Source organism: Homo sapiens, chromosome 6 (genome assembly GCF_000001405.40).
Source record: "Homo sapiens chromosome 6, GRCh38.p14 Primary Assembly".
Classification (NCBI taxonomy): domain Eukaryota; kingdom Metazoa; phylum Chordata; class Mammalia; order Primates; family Hominidae; genus Homo; species Homo sapiens.
This window is the reverse complement of record NC_000006.12, coordinates 9,706,615-9,719,868: the sequence shown is the minus strand read 5'-3', so window position 1 is coordinate 9,719,868 and position 13,254 is coordinate 9,706,615. Positions and strand designations below refer to the sequence as shown.

The window sequence follows — 13,254 nt, the reverse complement described above, 5'->3', positions numbered from 1 at the left end:
CATTACTTCTCTTTCCTATCTTGATCATAATTTCTGACATTCTAGTTCAGTTCTATGAGGTGCATGATCTATGATTCCTTTGAAAATGTGGCTTAAAGGTTAGGTATGTTTGCCCAGAGGAAAGGGTTAGTCAAAGTAGACATCATGGAAGGTCAATTTCCAGAAACATCCTGCAGTGCTTGGCTATTCATGGATGTTTGAACGTGTGAGCACACATATATTGATACAGAGACTCAAAAATTACTGAGAAAGAATTTAATTAGCTCTTTAATTTCTAGATTTCCTCAGAGCTATCAACACAAATTACTTTTTATAATAGGTGACTAAATAAAACAACTCAGGATTAAATTGGAAAGCAAAATAATTAATATATTATGTATTTTGTTGCATTAAATTATGAAGACATATTTTTCTCTATTTTGGGTCTTTAGAAGTCTTAAAAGAAGATATGGATTAATAATTACTAAAAGTTCTCTTGACATAATTGGAAGGATTTAAATCTTATTTCTATAGCAAGGACACCTCCTTGTAAGAAACTAGAAGAGAGTGGAATTCAAATTATTTCCATTATTTGTTTAGAAAATGCTGCCATCATGGTTATTAATAATAATGGTGGTGACAAAAATCAGAATAATTCTATTTGGCTAATATTAACTGAGCACTTACTGTGAGACAAATATTATGCTAATAGCTTTACATGTATTCTGTTTTCATTTCTTTCTTTTTTTTTTTTTTTTGAGATAGGGTTTCGCTCTGTCACACAGGCAAGAGGGTAGTGGTGCAATCACAGCTCACTGCAGCCTTGAATTCCTGGCTCAAGCAATCCTTCCAGGTCAACCTCATGAATAGTTGGGATTACATACATGGGCCACCATGCCTGGCTAATATTTGTATGTTTTGCAGAGATGGGGTTTCACCATGTGGCCCAGGCTAGTCTCCAACTACTGGCCCCAAGTGATCCTTCCACCAGGGCCTCCCAAAGTGCTGGGATTACAGGCAAGAGCCACCACACCTGGGCTCCTTTACATTTCTCCATGAACCTTTAAAATAGGTATAATCGGCTGGGCTCAGTGGCTCAGGCCTGTAATCCCAGCACTTTGGGAGGCCGAGGCAGGTGGATCACAGGGTCAGGAGTTGGAGACCAGCTTGGCCAAGATGGTGAAACCCTATCTCTACTAAAAATACAAAAAAATTAGCCAGGCAGTGGCAGGTGCCTGTAATTCCAGCTACTCAGGAGGCAGACGCAGGAGAATCGCTTGAACCTGGGAGGCAGAGGTTGCAGTGAGCAGAGATCGCGCCACTGCACTCCAGCATGGGTGACAGAGGGAGACTCCATCTCAAAAAAAAAGGTATTATCTTCTTCTTATTATTAAAATTATTATTTTAGAGAAGTTAAGTACTTTACTCAGGTTTCTATAGCTACTTTGTGATGGGGTTAATATTCAAACCCAGTTCCATCTGATTTTAAAAATTTATACTTTTAAAACTCTGCTATACATTTTTCTTTTGACACTGTATTCATCAAATAGATATGTATATGTCATATATGTACATATTACGTATACTGCTAAATACAGCTCATTCTTTATGCTATGTGCATTTTCAATTCAAATCAATTCAGTTGAGCTATGCCTTCCTGAGCAGTACTATGAGTACCATTACTCCAGACACTGACAGCATAGCGGGGCTGCTACCCTTCGACTTCTTGTCAACACTCAATTATTGCTTTTTCCTCATTTGTCTTCATTTTCATTTTAATCTGAGTTATATCTGAATTACACTGTTATGTCAGGATAAGATGTCAGACCCATATTGTATTTGACAGATGTCCACATTTTGCTAGAAAAAGCAAAATTAAACTTGATCCCACAAGAAAGTCTGAGTGTTAGAGTTTATTCTACACAAAATAAATTTATCAACCTCCTGTTTGAACTCATATAGACTGCGTATATTTTTCTCTTTCTACTGTTTTCAACATATCTGATATTGTCAATGGTTTGGGTTGCATTTCTAAATTTGGACTCCTTACTGCCAAACACCTGTTTATCTAATAGATACAATCCAAACTATGGTTTCAGGAAGGAAACAAAGAAGAGATCAAGCTATGTCCTTTGTTTCTTGATTTCGATGTCTGAGCTACTTATAGATGCTGTTAGAATGATAATGTGATTCTTTTCACTGAACTGTATTTTCCATTGCCTGCAATGGTGACTACACAATGAAAAACTAATTTTATGATTCAAAAGTACTTTCTTTGACTAGTTAGTGACCTCTCAGCTTCGTATAATAAGCAGTTCTTTAAAAGTGGCATGTGCCTTCCTGGGAATCTGACATATTCTCTTGTTTGATCCTCATAATAATTTGAAGTGGTAGACAGTATAATCTCTTGTTTTTGTAGAAGGCATTTGAGGCCCAGGGACTAGATAATTTATGAAATATCACAAAACTGTAGATAGAAGAGCAAAAATTTAAGCCGGAATCTCTGCTGTCAGCCTGTACATAGCCCTGCCTTCCTTCGTCCTTCAGTGTGGGCAGCCTTATGTGTCTGGGAGGCTCCTGATGGCATGCTTCTGGCTAAGCTGTGAAGTTATTTTTCTTTTTTTTCTTATACTGTTCTGTTTACGCATTATCACACAGCTCATCAATGTAATTGTTTTCAAAGCTAACTGCTTTTACATTATTGTTCCAATTATTAATAAAACTCCCATTATGCATAAAGTGTTTAGCTATTTTCACTTATGAAGTGCTTTGTAAACATTTTAACTAATTAGGCCAGGCAAATACCAGCAAGGTAAATGTTCTCCTTCTTTCTAACAGACTAGCTGCAAAGCTAAGTCACTTCCCGAAGCCAGAAGGTAAGCTGTGATAATAACTGTGACAAAAGTCATCCATTTCTGCTTCCCGCTTTGCTATTGTTGTTAAGTCAGGGACAATTGTTGTCCTTAGTTTTCGTACATCTTAATTATCATAAAGCACTGCCCCTATATTTATTCATTTTTGACTCTAAGAAAATTTCTCTTGGAAAAATAACTGCATTCAAATATTGCACCCAGTATTTACTAGGGAATGTTAAGGAAAATGTTATTTTCAGATGGCAAAATTAACATTCTAAAACAGACACATACAACACACATTGAATTTCAAAAAATATATTTGCGAAAAGGCAAACAGACTTTGGCATCCTTTGCTTCAAGTGGTGAAGTTTGCTTTCAATTTTCTTTTTATACTGTGTGATAAGTTTCATCGTTCCCTGCCCCCTCCAAAGCTTCTCTCTCCCATTCAGAGACTGTCATTGGAAATAACAGCCTAAAGAGTTTGGAGTCTCTTTGGATTCCTTCAACATACTTCAATCGCTGTTTTCTCATTAGAACATTTATACTTTTGTGCCTCAGTGGGAATGATCAATTATTTCAATGTCAGTAGTGGTAATATTACCCCTAAGATTTAGCAATTTTCAAAGATCTTTTAACTTAATTAGAGGCATTTGTTGTAAATTGAATTAAACCTGTTAAAAGTGCAATTTGTTATATTAAAAATATAATAGCCATGTTGACCAAGGAGACACAATTTTAAGGGGAAATGTCCAGTTTAAAAATGTCAACATCATAATAAAGTTGTGAAGTTTTTCTTTTCATCAGGTTTTCTAAAAGTTGAGAGAACGGATAACAATTTTATCCAGAACATTTTGGCAAATATATATGTACAGATCCCTATGTAAGAAGATACACATTTCACAGAAATACTTGAAATTAAGACAAAAACAATAAAAGATTGGAGCATTTTAATACTTTTGTTAAAAAATGAAACTGATGTCATTTATAATTAATATGTTAATATTTATCTAATATCAACACACGATTATAGTATTGTCATAACTTATTTTTGATTAATGCTCCTTCTTTCCAAATAAGTGCTTCCTTATCTTGATGTATTTTACCTCATTTTCTTTTAAACATGGTGTCACAATGAACTTGCCCAAAGAGGGTCATACGAGCCGCATCACATAATGATATCCTGTTGTACCTTTCTTCAGAAGCCATTTAGAAAATCCCAATGGTGGCTTTCAAATTTCTTAGGTACCAAGCACGTACATTGGCATGGGCTTTATGAATATTGAAATGGTAAATTATAGGAATAGGCAGAAGCAGATCATAGTTTTAACTGAAGCCGTTTGGAAACCCACTTATTCTAAAAATGTATTCATTTAGTACATGTTCATTTTCAAGCACCTGCAATGCAGGAGGCATGGTGCTAGCACCTGGGAACATAGCAGTGAGCAAGACAGACAGTTCCTGCCTTCACAGAGCAGAGTCACTACCTCATGAACATCAGTTTGCATTTTAACTGAGTTCTGTGTGTATGTGAGTGGGTTGTATACCTCCTTCCTGCCATCCCTACCAACCCCCATGTAGTTAAATGCGGCATGAGTTGTCGAAATGCACAGGTTTTGGCATCAGACAAAAATCACGTTTAAATCTAGCTTCTGGTCTTGATCTGTCTCTTAATAGCTGAATGATCTAAAGCAAGTAAATTGAACTTTCTTAGTTGTTTCCTCATCTGTAAAATGAGTACAGTGCCACATGTCCTCCAAACTGTCCCTGTAAATTAGATATATTTATGAAAAGCTCCCAGTGCATAGTGTATTCAATGCATAATAGCTGCTATTATTACATCAGTAGTATTGTCTATATCAAATACTCTCTCTCAGCTTAAAAACTCTTATTCATAAACTTTTTCGGAGAAGTGAGTGGAGGTGCGTTCTTTCCTGATTAAGTGGGTTTTCAGCCATCAGGCAGCATATGGAAAAAGAATCGCTTCAAGGGGTGCTGGAGTGTCAATTGCTCCAGCAATATAGTAAATTCCATCAGAAGAGAAAATGTATATCATACTAGTCACCAACAGTTTTATAATTTTTTAAATTTCAGGTAATTTTCACACCATTCTGATTGCTTCTTGTGATCATGCATATGGCTTCAAATTGTATTTCCAGTCCTGACATCTCTTAAACTCCACTTCCATAAGTAAAACTGACAATTGGGAAAATTCTCTGGGATATTCCACTGCCATTTTCTATAAGAAGGTCAATATGAGCTTATCTTTTTCCTCATCTTCTCCAGCCCCCAACCAATGATGTTTTTCTAATATGTCCTCTATTCAGTCACCATTGGGTAAGCTACCAGAACCAGAAACTTTGGAACCCTTTCTGAATCTTTTCTTTCCGCTCTCATATTCAGTCTCCACATCCTGTCCATAGTAGTCAGACTTCTCTGGAGTACACTCCCTTATCTCTGTTCTAACACCAGTTGAATTCTCTTTTCTTCAAAAGCACTGCTGTTCACGTTTGGGACTGTTAGGGATTAAATTGTGTTCCCTGCCCCACCCCCGTAAAAAAAAAAAAAAAAAAAAAAAAATATATATATATATATATATATATATATATATATATATATATATATATATATATATATGTTGAAGTCCTAACCCACATTATCTCAGAATGTGACCTTATCTGGAAATAGAGTCATTGTGAATGTAAGTTAAGATGAGGCCATACTGGAGTAGGGTGGGCCCTTTATCCAATATGGCTGGTGCTCTTATGTGTGGGGACACAGACATGCAGAGGAAGACAGCCATGTGAAGACTGAAGCAGAAATTAGTGGTATGCTGCTATAAGCCAAGGAGTGCTGGGGGCTACCAGAAGCTGGAGGAAGCAAGGAAGAATCCTCCCCAAGAAGCTTTGAAGGGACCATCGCCCTACCAGCACTTTGACTTAAGACTTCTAGCCTCCAGAACTGTGAGAGAATAAATTTCCGTTGTTTGAAGCCACTCATGCTGTGGTTACAGCAGCCCTAAGAAACTAACATGGGGACAAAAGAGTTCTTCCTTGTCTGAGACTTCCATTCTTATTTCAGGAAACTTAGTGTCTTAGCCAACTTTCATGTTACTGTGACAACAAGGAACACCCACAACCACATGTCTGAAGACTCCGGAGTTCTGCCCCTGGTCGGGCATTACTGATAAATCATTGATGTAGGTCACCATGCTTTCTGTCCTTTAGTATGGACCCTCCCAAACCTTTATTTATTCTTCAGCCAGAGCAATGTTTCAAAAATACAAGCATAATATTCCTCCCCATCCCCAAGGGAAGAAAAATTCAGTCTGCTGATGGTGTTGGGACAATGTCCAAACTCCTTTATATGGCATAAACTGGCCAGGTCTCTTCCCAGTAGTTCCCACCTACCTCTCCAGCTTCACATTCTGGAACCATCTTCTCCTACTTGGACTTTCACCAGCCAGTTCCATTTATTTTCAGTTTTAGAGACAGGACTTTTTCTTCTGAAAGCTGCATAGTGTTGGAATGCCTTCCCAGTTTTCCTACCCATTTGTCTAATTCCTCTTTACCTTATAAAGCTCATAAGAGAAGTCTTCTCTGGCTAAGTTGGAGATAGGTCTATTCTATATGTTTTTTCATAGTATTCAGTACAACACTAAAGCACTTATCACTGGATTTTAGCTCTGTGTTTTATTTTTCTACACTCATCTGTCTCTACAAATGGATGAAAAATTCTGTGGGTGAGTGGGGGTGTTATTCAATGGTGGGAATCAAATGGTGGGAATTCACAGCTCATCTATATTAGCAATCTCTTGCTGCTGGAACAAATGACTACCAACTTGTGACTTAAAGCAACACACATTTGTTATTTTACAATTCTGGACATCAGAAGTCTGCAGTGTGTCCCATTGGGCTAAAGTCAAGGTGTCAGCAGGACTGCCTTCTTTCTGGAGCCTCCAGAGGATGCTCAGTTTCCTTGCCTTTTCCAGCCTCTAGAGTCTGTCTTCAGGCCTCAGATCATCTCCATGTTCAAAGACAACCAATTTGCACCATCCTTCTCACACTACCCTTTTTCTGGCTCTTTCTTGTGTTTTCACTCTGTCTCTTCTGCTTCCTTCTTCCATTTTTTTTTAAAGAACCTTTGTGATTACATTGGGCTTGGCTGAATATTCCAGAATGCTTTTCATATTTTAAGCCCAGCAGTTAGCAACTTTAATTCCATCTGCTACTTAATTTCCCTTTGCCATATAATTTCACATAATCACAGATTCCAGGAATTAAGGCACAGACTATATGGGGGCCATTATTCTGCCAACTTCACTATCATAAAGCCTGATATTCATTTACTGATAATCTGTTGAATAAGTTATACCCAATTCAACCGGCTTCTACAAAGGAAGAAATGCTTTCTTTACCTGGGTTCTAGATAAAGATGGCTCACTTTCAATCAGGCTAGAGTTTCTTGGTCATTGGGTTTCTTGCTAAAGTGATTCAGTAGCTGACTGATGAAGAGTCCTCACGAAAAAGCAGGCGACACTAGTTTAAAAATTCTTTGTTACCAGTAACTGTTACTTAGGCAAGTGACTTAACTTATTTAGGCTTTAGTTCAGCCTCCGGAGAAGGGAATGCTGAGGGAATATAATAAGGCCTTCTCCAACAGTGACATGATATGATGGATGCATGTTTCTTTGATATTTTCATGATAATGACTCCCTGAAAAGGTGACTATTAAGTCTTAGAAAGCCTCAGAAGTCACTGAGGATATCCATGCTCAAAAACTTGCTGATGAGTGGGATATGGTAGAAAAGAAAATAATAAGTACCTAAATAAAATAATTAGTTATAGATGATTATAATGAAAAAAGCACCTTAATTTTTTAAAAATGCTACAACCAGAGTATGTTTGGTTATGCCAAAAGAAAGGAATATGGAAATTTTTAGTGCCATCTATTGGTAGTGATTTTTAAATAAGAATTATTATGCATAATTGATGAGTGGTGGCTCTTTGTTTTATCCAAATTCCTAATTCCTAAGGATTCTTGTTAACTGTGGAAGAGAGTAGTTTAAGAATGCATTCTCTTTTTTATGCATTCTCTTTTATTTTTTCCAAAGCAATTTTGGTCTTTTTTTATTATGATTACATGGATGGATCATAGAAATCTTGTTTGATTTCAGGTCTTTATTAGGAGTGGGCATGGAAGGTGGATATATGTGTGTCATTTGAAATGTGGCTAAAGTTCAGAGAAATAGGTTTCATTTAATAGCTGAATACTGGATGACCTTACCATTCTTCTCACCCTCTGGCAGCTCACCCTGTGAGCAACAGAGGAGATGTCCGCATGAACTGAGAAGTAGCTGCTGGCCTCAATGTGATTTTGCAGTGATCTGTGTGCTCTATGGCTTCCTTCATAACCAACAAATCAATTCCCACTATACATATTACACACCCCAGTGGCAGAGGCCATTTATTATCCTTTTGATGGTCATACTCTTTGTACATAACCAAGAAAGATTACAGAGGAAGGCAAAGAACAGTTGCAATATGGATGAAGACATTCCACAATGACACTGCATTTTATCATGTGCCTTGCATATCTATAAGGATACAAAAGATGTTCTCTTTCAAGACAGTTTTGAAACATGGAAGCAAAATTCTTTTTAATGAAAAATATTTCAAGAATTATAAGTGAAGAGAAAGTTGTAGAGATAATTCTACAACAATTCTAAATTGTATACATTTAGATTTCAAGGGCAAATTTGAAATGATTAAAAGACTGTCATATTTTGTTTCTGTGTGGGCATTGTTAATAACACTATACTTGACTAGTTTTGCTCAATTAGCTTTTGATATAGCCTTTTATTTGGCATCATTCAGTATCAACTGATTGTTTTGTTAATTTCTAATTTGCAGTATATAAATTTCTAAACTCTCAATTATCGATTCAGGGATTTTCCTGATTCTTTGAATCCACATATATCTAATAATAGTTACCATTATTAGATAAATCAAAATCAAATCCTGACTTGTAGTGACTAGGTATAAAATAATTGAATATTTTGAATTAGAGCTAAGTGGTTCCTAATGAAATTTTAGTGTTATTTGTCCTAAATCAAAAGTCTGGTAAAAAAAAAAAAAAAAGCACATATATCTTAATGTGCATAGGAAACATTTTATTAGTAAAACTAATGGTAAAAGACTCACTTTATAGTGGGTTCTGTGCATACGCCACTTAAACTGCTTAGTCATTTATGTCAATGGATATGAAAAGAACAGTGGAAATTTCCAAAGGTCAAAGAAGCTACTGTCTTTTCTGTTTTGCATCATTTGAGACTTTCCAGGTTTTTTTTTTTTTTTTTTTTCAAACAACACAATGCCAAATCTGCATTTGATTTTCCCTTCCCTTTGAAGAGGCAAAACAATGACAGAGTAATTAACCGAGGAGGAGATCATGTACAGGGTATTTTGCTTTAGCAGTGTGGAAAGTTCTGCATTTCATTTCACATGGTGGTAAATGGAGTGAGGTATTCTGAAATCCCTTCTACAAGAGAGTTAGCCCCTGACTACGTTACTGTATATAAACCAAACTTTCTTGGGGTCTGTTTCCTGTTTAACTGTTCCTCATTTTTGTAATGGAAAAGAATGCTCAATGCAAAGACTGCATCTTGCTTTCCATTAGGTGAGGGGCTACACCTTCATGGAGAAACACACAGAAGAACAACAAAAAGGAATTGTCAGTATCAGGTTTGGTGCCTCACTAGTTCTGTGCAGACCAAAAGGCTGTAGTCATGGTCTGGAATGCTAAGAGGGAATAGTAGATTTACTTGTTGTTTTTTCTTTCTTTCTTTTTTCCCCACTGTTGTTTTCATGATTTATCCTCTCTTCCCATGTTATGTCATCACATTTGATAATCTTCGGAGAGCAATGAGCTTTTGTATGTAACATCTTTTGAATATGTCCATGAATTCCATTTCTGTGCTGTCCCCAGCACTGCTCTGACTTGCTGTGGTTTGTCATTAAGTCACTGAACTGCTTAGTCTGTTACTAGTTTCTCCTTTGGTAACATGTTTATTATTAGGACTATTTTTCATTGAGGAATCTACTATCTCATTCTGGAAAATCTTTCTAGAATAAAATTAGGCATACTAATCCAGGAATTTACAGTCTAGTTATTATAAAGATCAATTACTGGTTTAATAAAACACGTGGTATATACCCATGCGATTTACTGCTTTAATTAAATAACAAATATTTGCATATCCATATATACCTTTAAAAATAAAAGGAATCATATCATCATTTAGATAGGTTTTCTACATTTCTTGGGCTCAATGGAAGCCCAGACTAGTTCAAAGTAGGACTGGGAAATATTAGAAAAGGAGAAAGAAAGAGAAGCAACAGAGTATGTGTTCATTGTTTTGTGAATGTACCACAGTGATAATGTGGTTCAAATTGTTTGATATCTGACCCTGAGGTCTGGGTGCTATTACAAACTTCTTTTTCCAAGTGAGGAAACTAAGGCATAGAGAATAATTATATCCAGGCTGTCAGCTCCCAGAGATTTTAGTCGCAACACTGTGGTAACTCTGTTGTATGCTACCTCCACAAATTGTTTGGACTGAGTAGAAAATGCTTTCTGATTGTTCAGTAATTTTCAGATGGCCTCTTCATCTTTTCTCTTGCAAAAACTATAATTTTAGAAACTTTGACATCTCTTGTCCTTAATGCCAAATATAGAGAAGAGATCAGAGCTGAATCAGAATACTTTGTATGAGATCCTTTTATATTTTGTTTCAACCAAAAATATCAGTATTGTGTTATGGAATGAAAAAGTTCTTAAGTTTTGGATTTGTATTCATAGATTTTTAGTGGCATACTGATAATTTCAATTTTTAAAATGAAAATTGATCTTTAAAAAGTCACATGCAAATAATTTAATCTTCATGTAGAGAGATCATTGTGGGTAAGTGAGATAAGCAGGAATGTATTTTAGATTTTAAAGATAAAAAGTAAATTTACCATTTACAATAATTTATTTTCATGTTTATTATAAAAAACTGTTCAATTATGGTAAAATCCTCATAACATAAAACTTACCATCTTAGCCATTTTTAAGTTACAGTTCAGTGGTAAGTACATTCCCGTTGTTGTGCAACAAATCTGACTTTTTTTATCTTGAAAAACTGAAATTCTATACTATTAGCAACTCCTCATTTCCCCTCTCCTGCACACCTGCCAACCACGATTCTACTTTCTGTTTCTATGATTTTGACTATTTCAGATACCTCCTCCTGTAAGTAAAATCATAAGTATGTGTTCTTTTGTGACTGGCTTATCTTTCTTAGCACAGTGTCCACAGGGTTCATCCATGTAGCATCCATGTTGTAGAATTTCCTTCTTTGTTAAAGCTGAGTAATATCCCATTGTATGTATATATATATATATATATATATATATATATATATATATATATATACACCACATTTTGTTTATCCATTCATCGACCAATGGACATTTATATTGTTTTCACATCTTGGCTATTGTGAATAATGCTGTTATAATCATGGGTACACAAATATCACTTCTGGACCCTGCTTTCAATTCTTTTGGATATATATCCAAAGGTGGAATTGCTGAATCATATAGTCATTCTATTTTTAATTTTTTGAGAACATACCATACTTTTTTCCATGGTGGTTGAACCATTTTACTTTCCTGCCAATAGTACACAAAGGTTTTAATTTCTTCACATCCTTCCAAACACTTATTGCACATGCGTGTGTGTCTGTGTGTGTGTGTTTATGGTAGGCATTTTAACAGATGTGAGGTGGCATTTCATTGTGGTTTTGATTTGCATTTCCCTAATTCATGTTTCTTTATGTTCTCCTATAATGTGAACCATCCACTATAGCTAAAAGGAACATAAATAGTTTTGAATCCTAAGTATTTATTTAGAAATAATTTTGTTCAGTTTTCCTTTCACAGTGTTTCATTGTTATTCTCAAAATATCTTACTTTTGGTTGTGCTTTAAGCCGAGATTTTATCTACTGTTTCTTTGTTTGTAGCTGTTCTTCAGTTGCTGATAGTAGATATGGAGACTTCTTCAAGCATCTCCATTTTGTGCTGGTATCAGCGTCTTCAGAACTTCAGTTATCTCAATGGCAAAGCCAGGGCTTCTGGTACATTATACTGCTGATGTTTTTTCTCTGGTTCCTGAGGCTCTACCTGCATTACTTGGGCCAGTGGCTTTTCCTCCAGGCCATTTCAACTCCTGTTACAAAGTGAGTGGTTTCCTCTGAAAGTCAAAGGAATATATTTTCATCTTAATAGGACAAATGAAAGTACAAAACACCTCTCCCATCAATTTACCGTACAACCTAAAATGCAGAGATTATTTGAAAAGACAAAAATGTCTTTATCTAAGCAAAAACTTCTATTACAGTTATAGTCTCACCTTATGGGCCTGTATATATAAGTACATAACTGGTACATCAATATTTATTTTAAATTTAGCAGATTCAAATATGTTCTAATATCTGAGCAGGTTCCAAAAAGGAATTTAGCAACAATGTTTTATTGTATTTTGATTTTATCATAGTGACTTAGGCTGAAGGTATTTTAGAAGTAAGGTAAGTGTGATTTATCACCTATTCACAGAGAAGCAAAGATTGCTTCTTCTGCAAAATGATTGAATTCAAACAATTACCAAACTCAAGCCCAGGCAGCTTTCTGGGCCATTATCCTCTGGAAAAAGATGACACTTTAAAGGTTATCTCTTTATAAACATGATTCCAAAGACACTGTAGATAGACACACAGATAGATATCAATACAAGTAAAATTCATTTTCTCAAATGTAGATGGTACAGATAAAAATAAAGTTGCGTGTATATTTTCAATTAGGAAGATTACAAAGAACAATATAAATATTTATATTTATACATACATATATAGTTATTGATATCTTTGAAAATTATAAAGGTCTGAATATATTATGGAATATGCAAATATATATATACTAAACTGTATTTTCAAGGGGGAATTTTTATCTGGATAGTCTCTTTGTTCCTCCTTTCTTTCATTCTCTTTTCTTAAGGTTTCCAAAGCAAAAAGAACAAATATGATATGCTTGGCCTAGTTGTTTTTTGCTTTTCACTCTTTTATTCTTCGATAGAAAAGGAAGCCCTATCTTTATTAGTTGTTAATAAAATGAGACTTCAAAATGTATCTTGACAGCCCAGTTGAACCAATTTCTTAAGCAACCGAGGACCTAAGATACAAAGGATATTTTTCTGGCTATTGTCTCAGTCTGCAGGCTTGGGTCATACAGTAGCTCTGTGTCACATCTTAGCTGTGAGCCATAGCAATAACAACACCAACAATGAGCATGTCTTCGGCTCTTGCTCTGGGACAGATACTATGCT

At 35.5% G+C, this 13,254-nt stretch overlaps 1 pseudogene across 1 annotated transcript in view; it reads left to right on the top strand.

Moving 5' to 3' along the window:
- Positions 1–13,254, top strand: part of OFCC1 (orofacial cleft 1 candidate 1 (pseudogene)) — a 506,631-nt pseudogene that overhangs the window by 491,740 nt on the left and 1,637 nt on the right. The window contains exon 12 of the transcript NR_170155.1: positions 11,897–12,112. The product of NR_170155.1 is annotated as an orofacial cleft 1 candidate 1 (pseudogene) (transcript). The remainder of the gene's footprint in view (positions 1–11,896; positions 12,113–13,254) is intronic.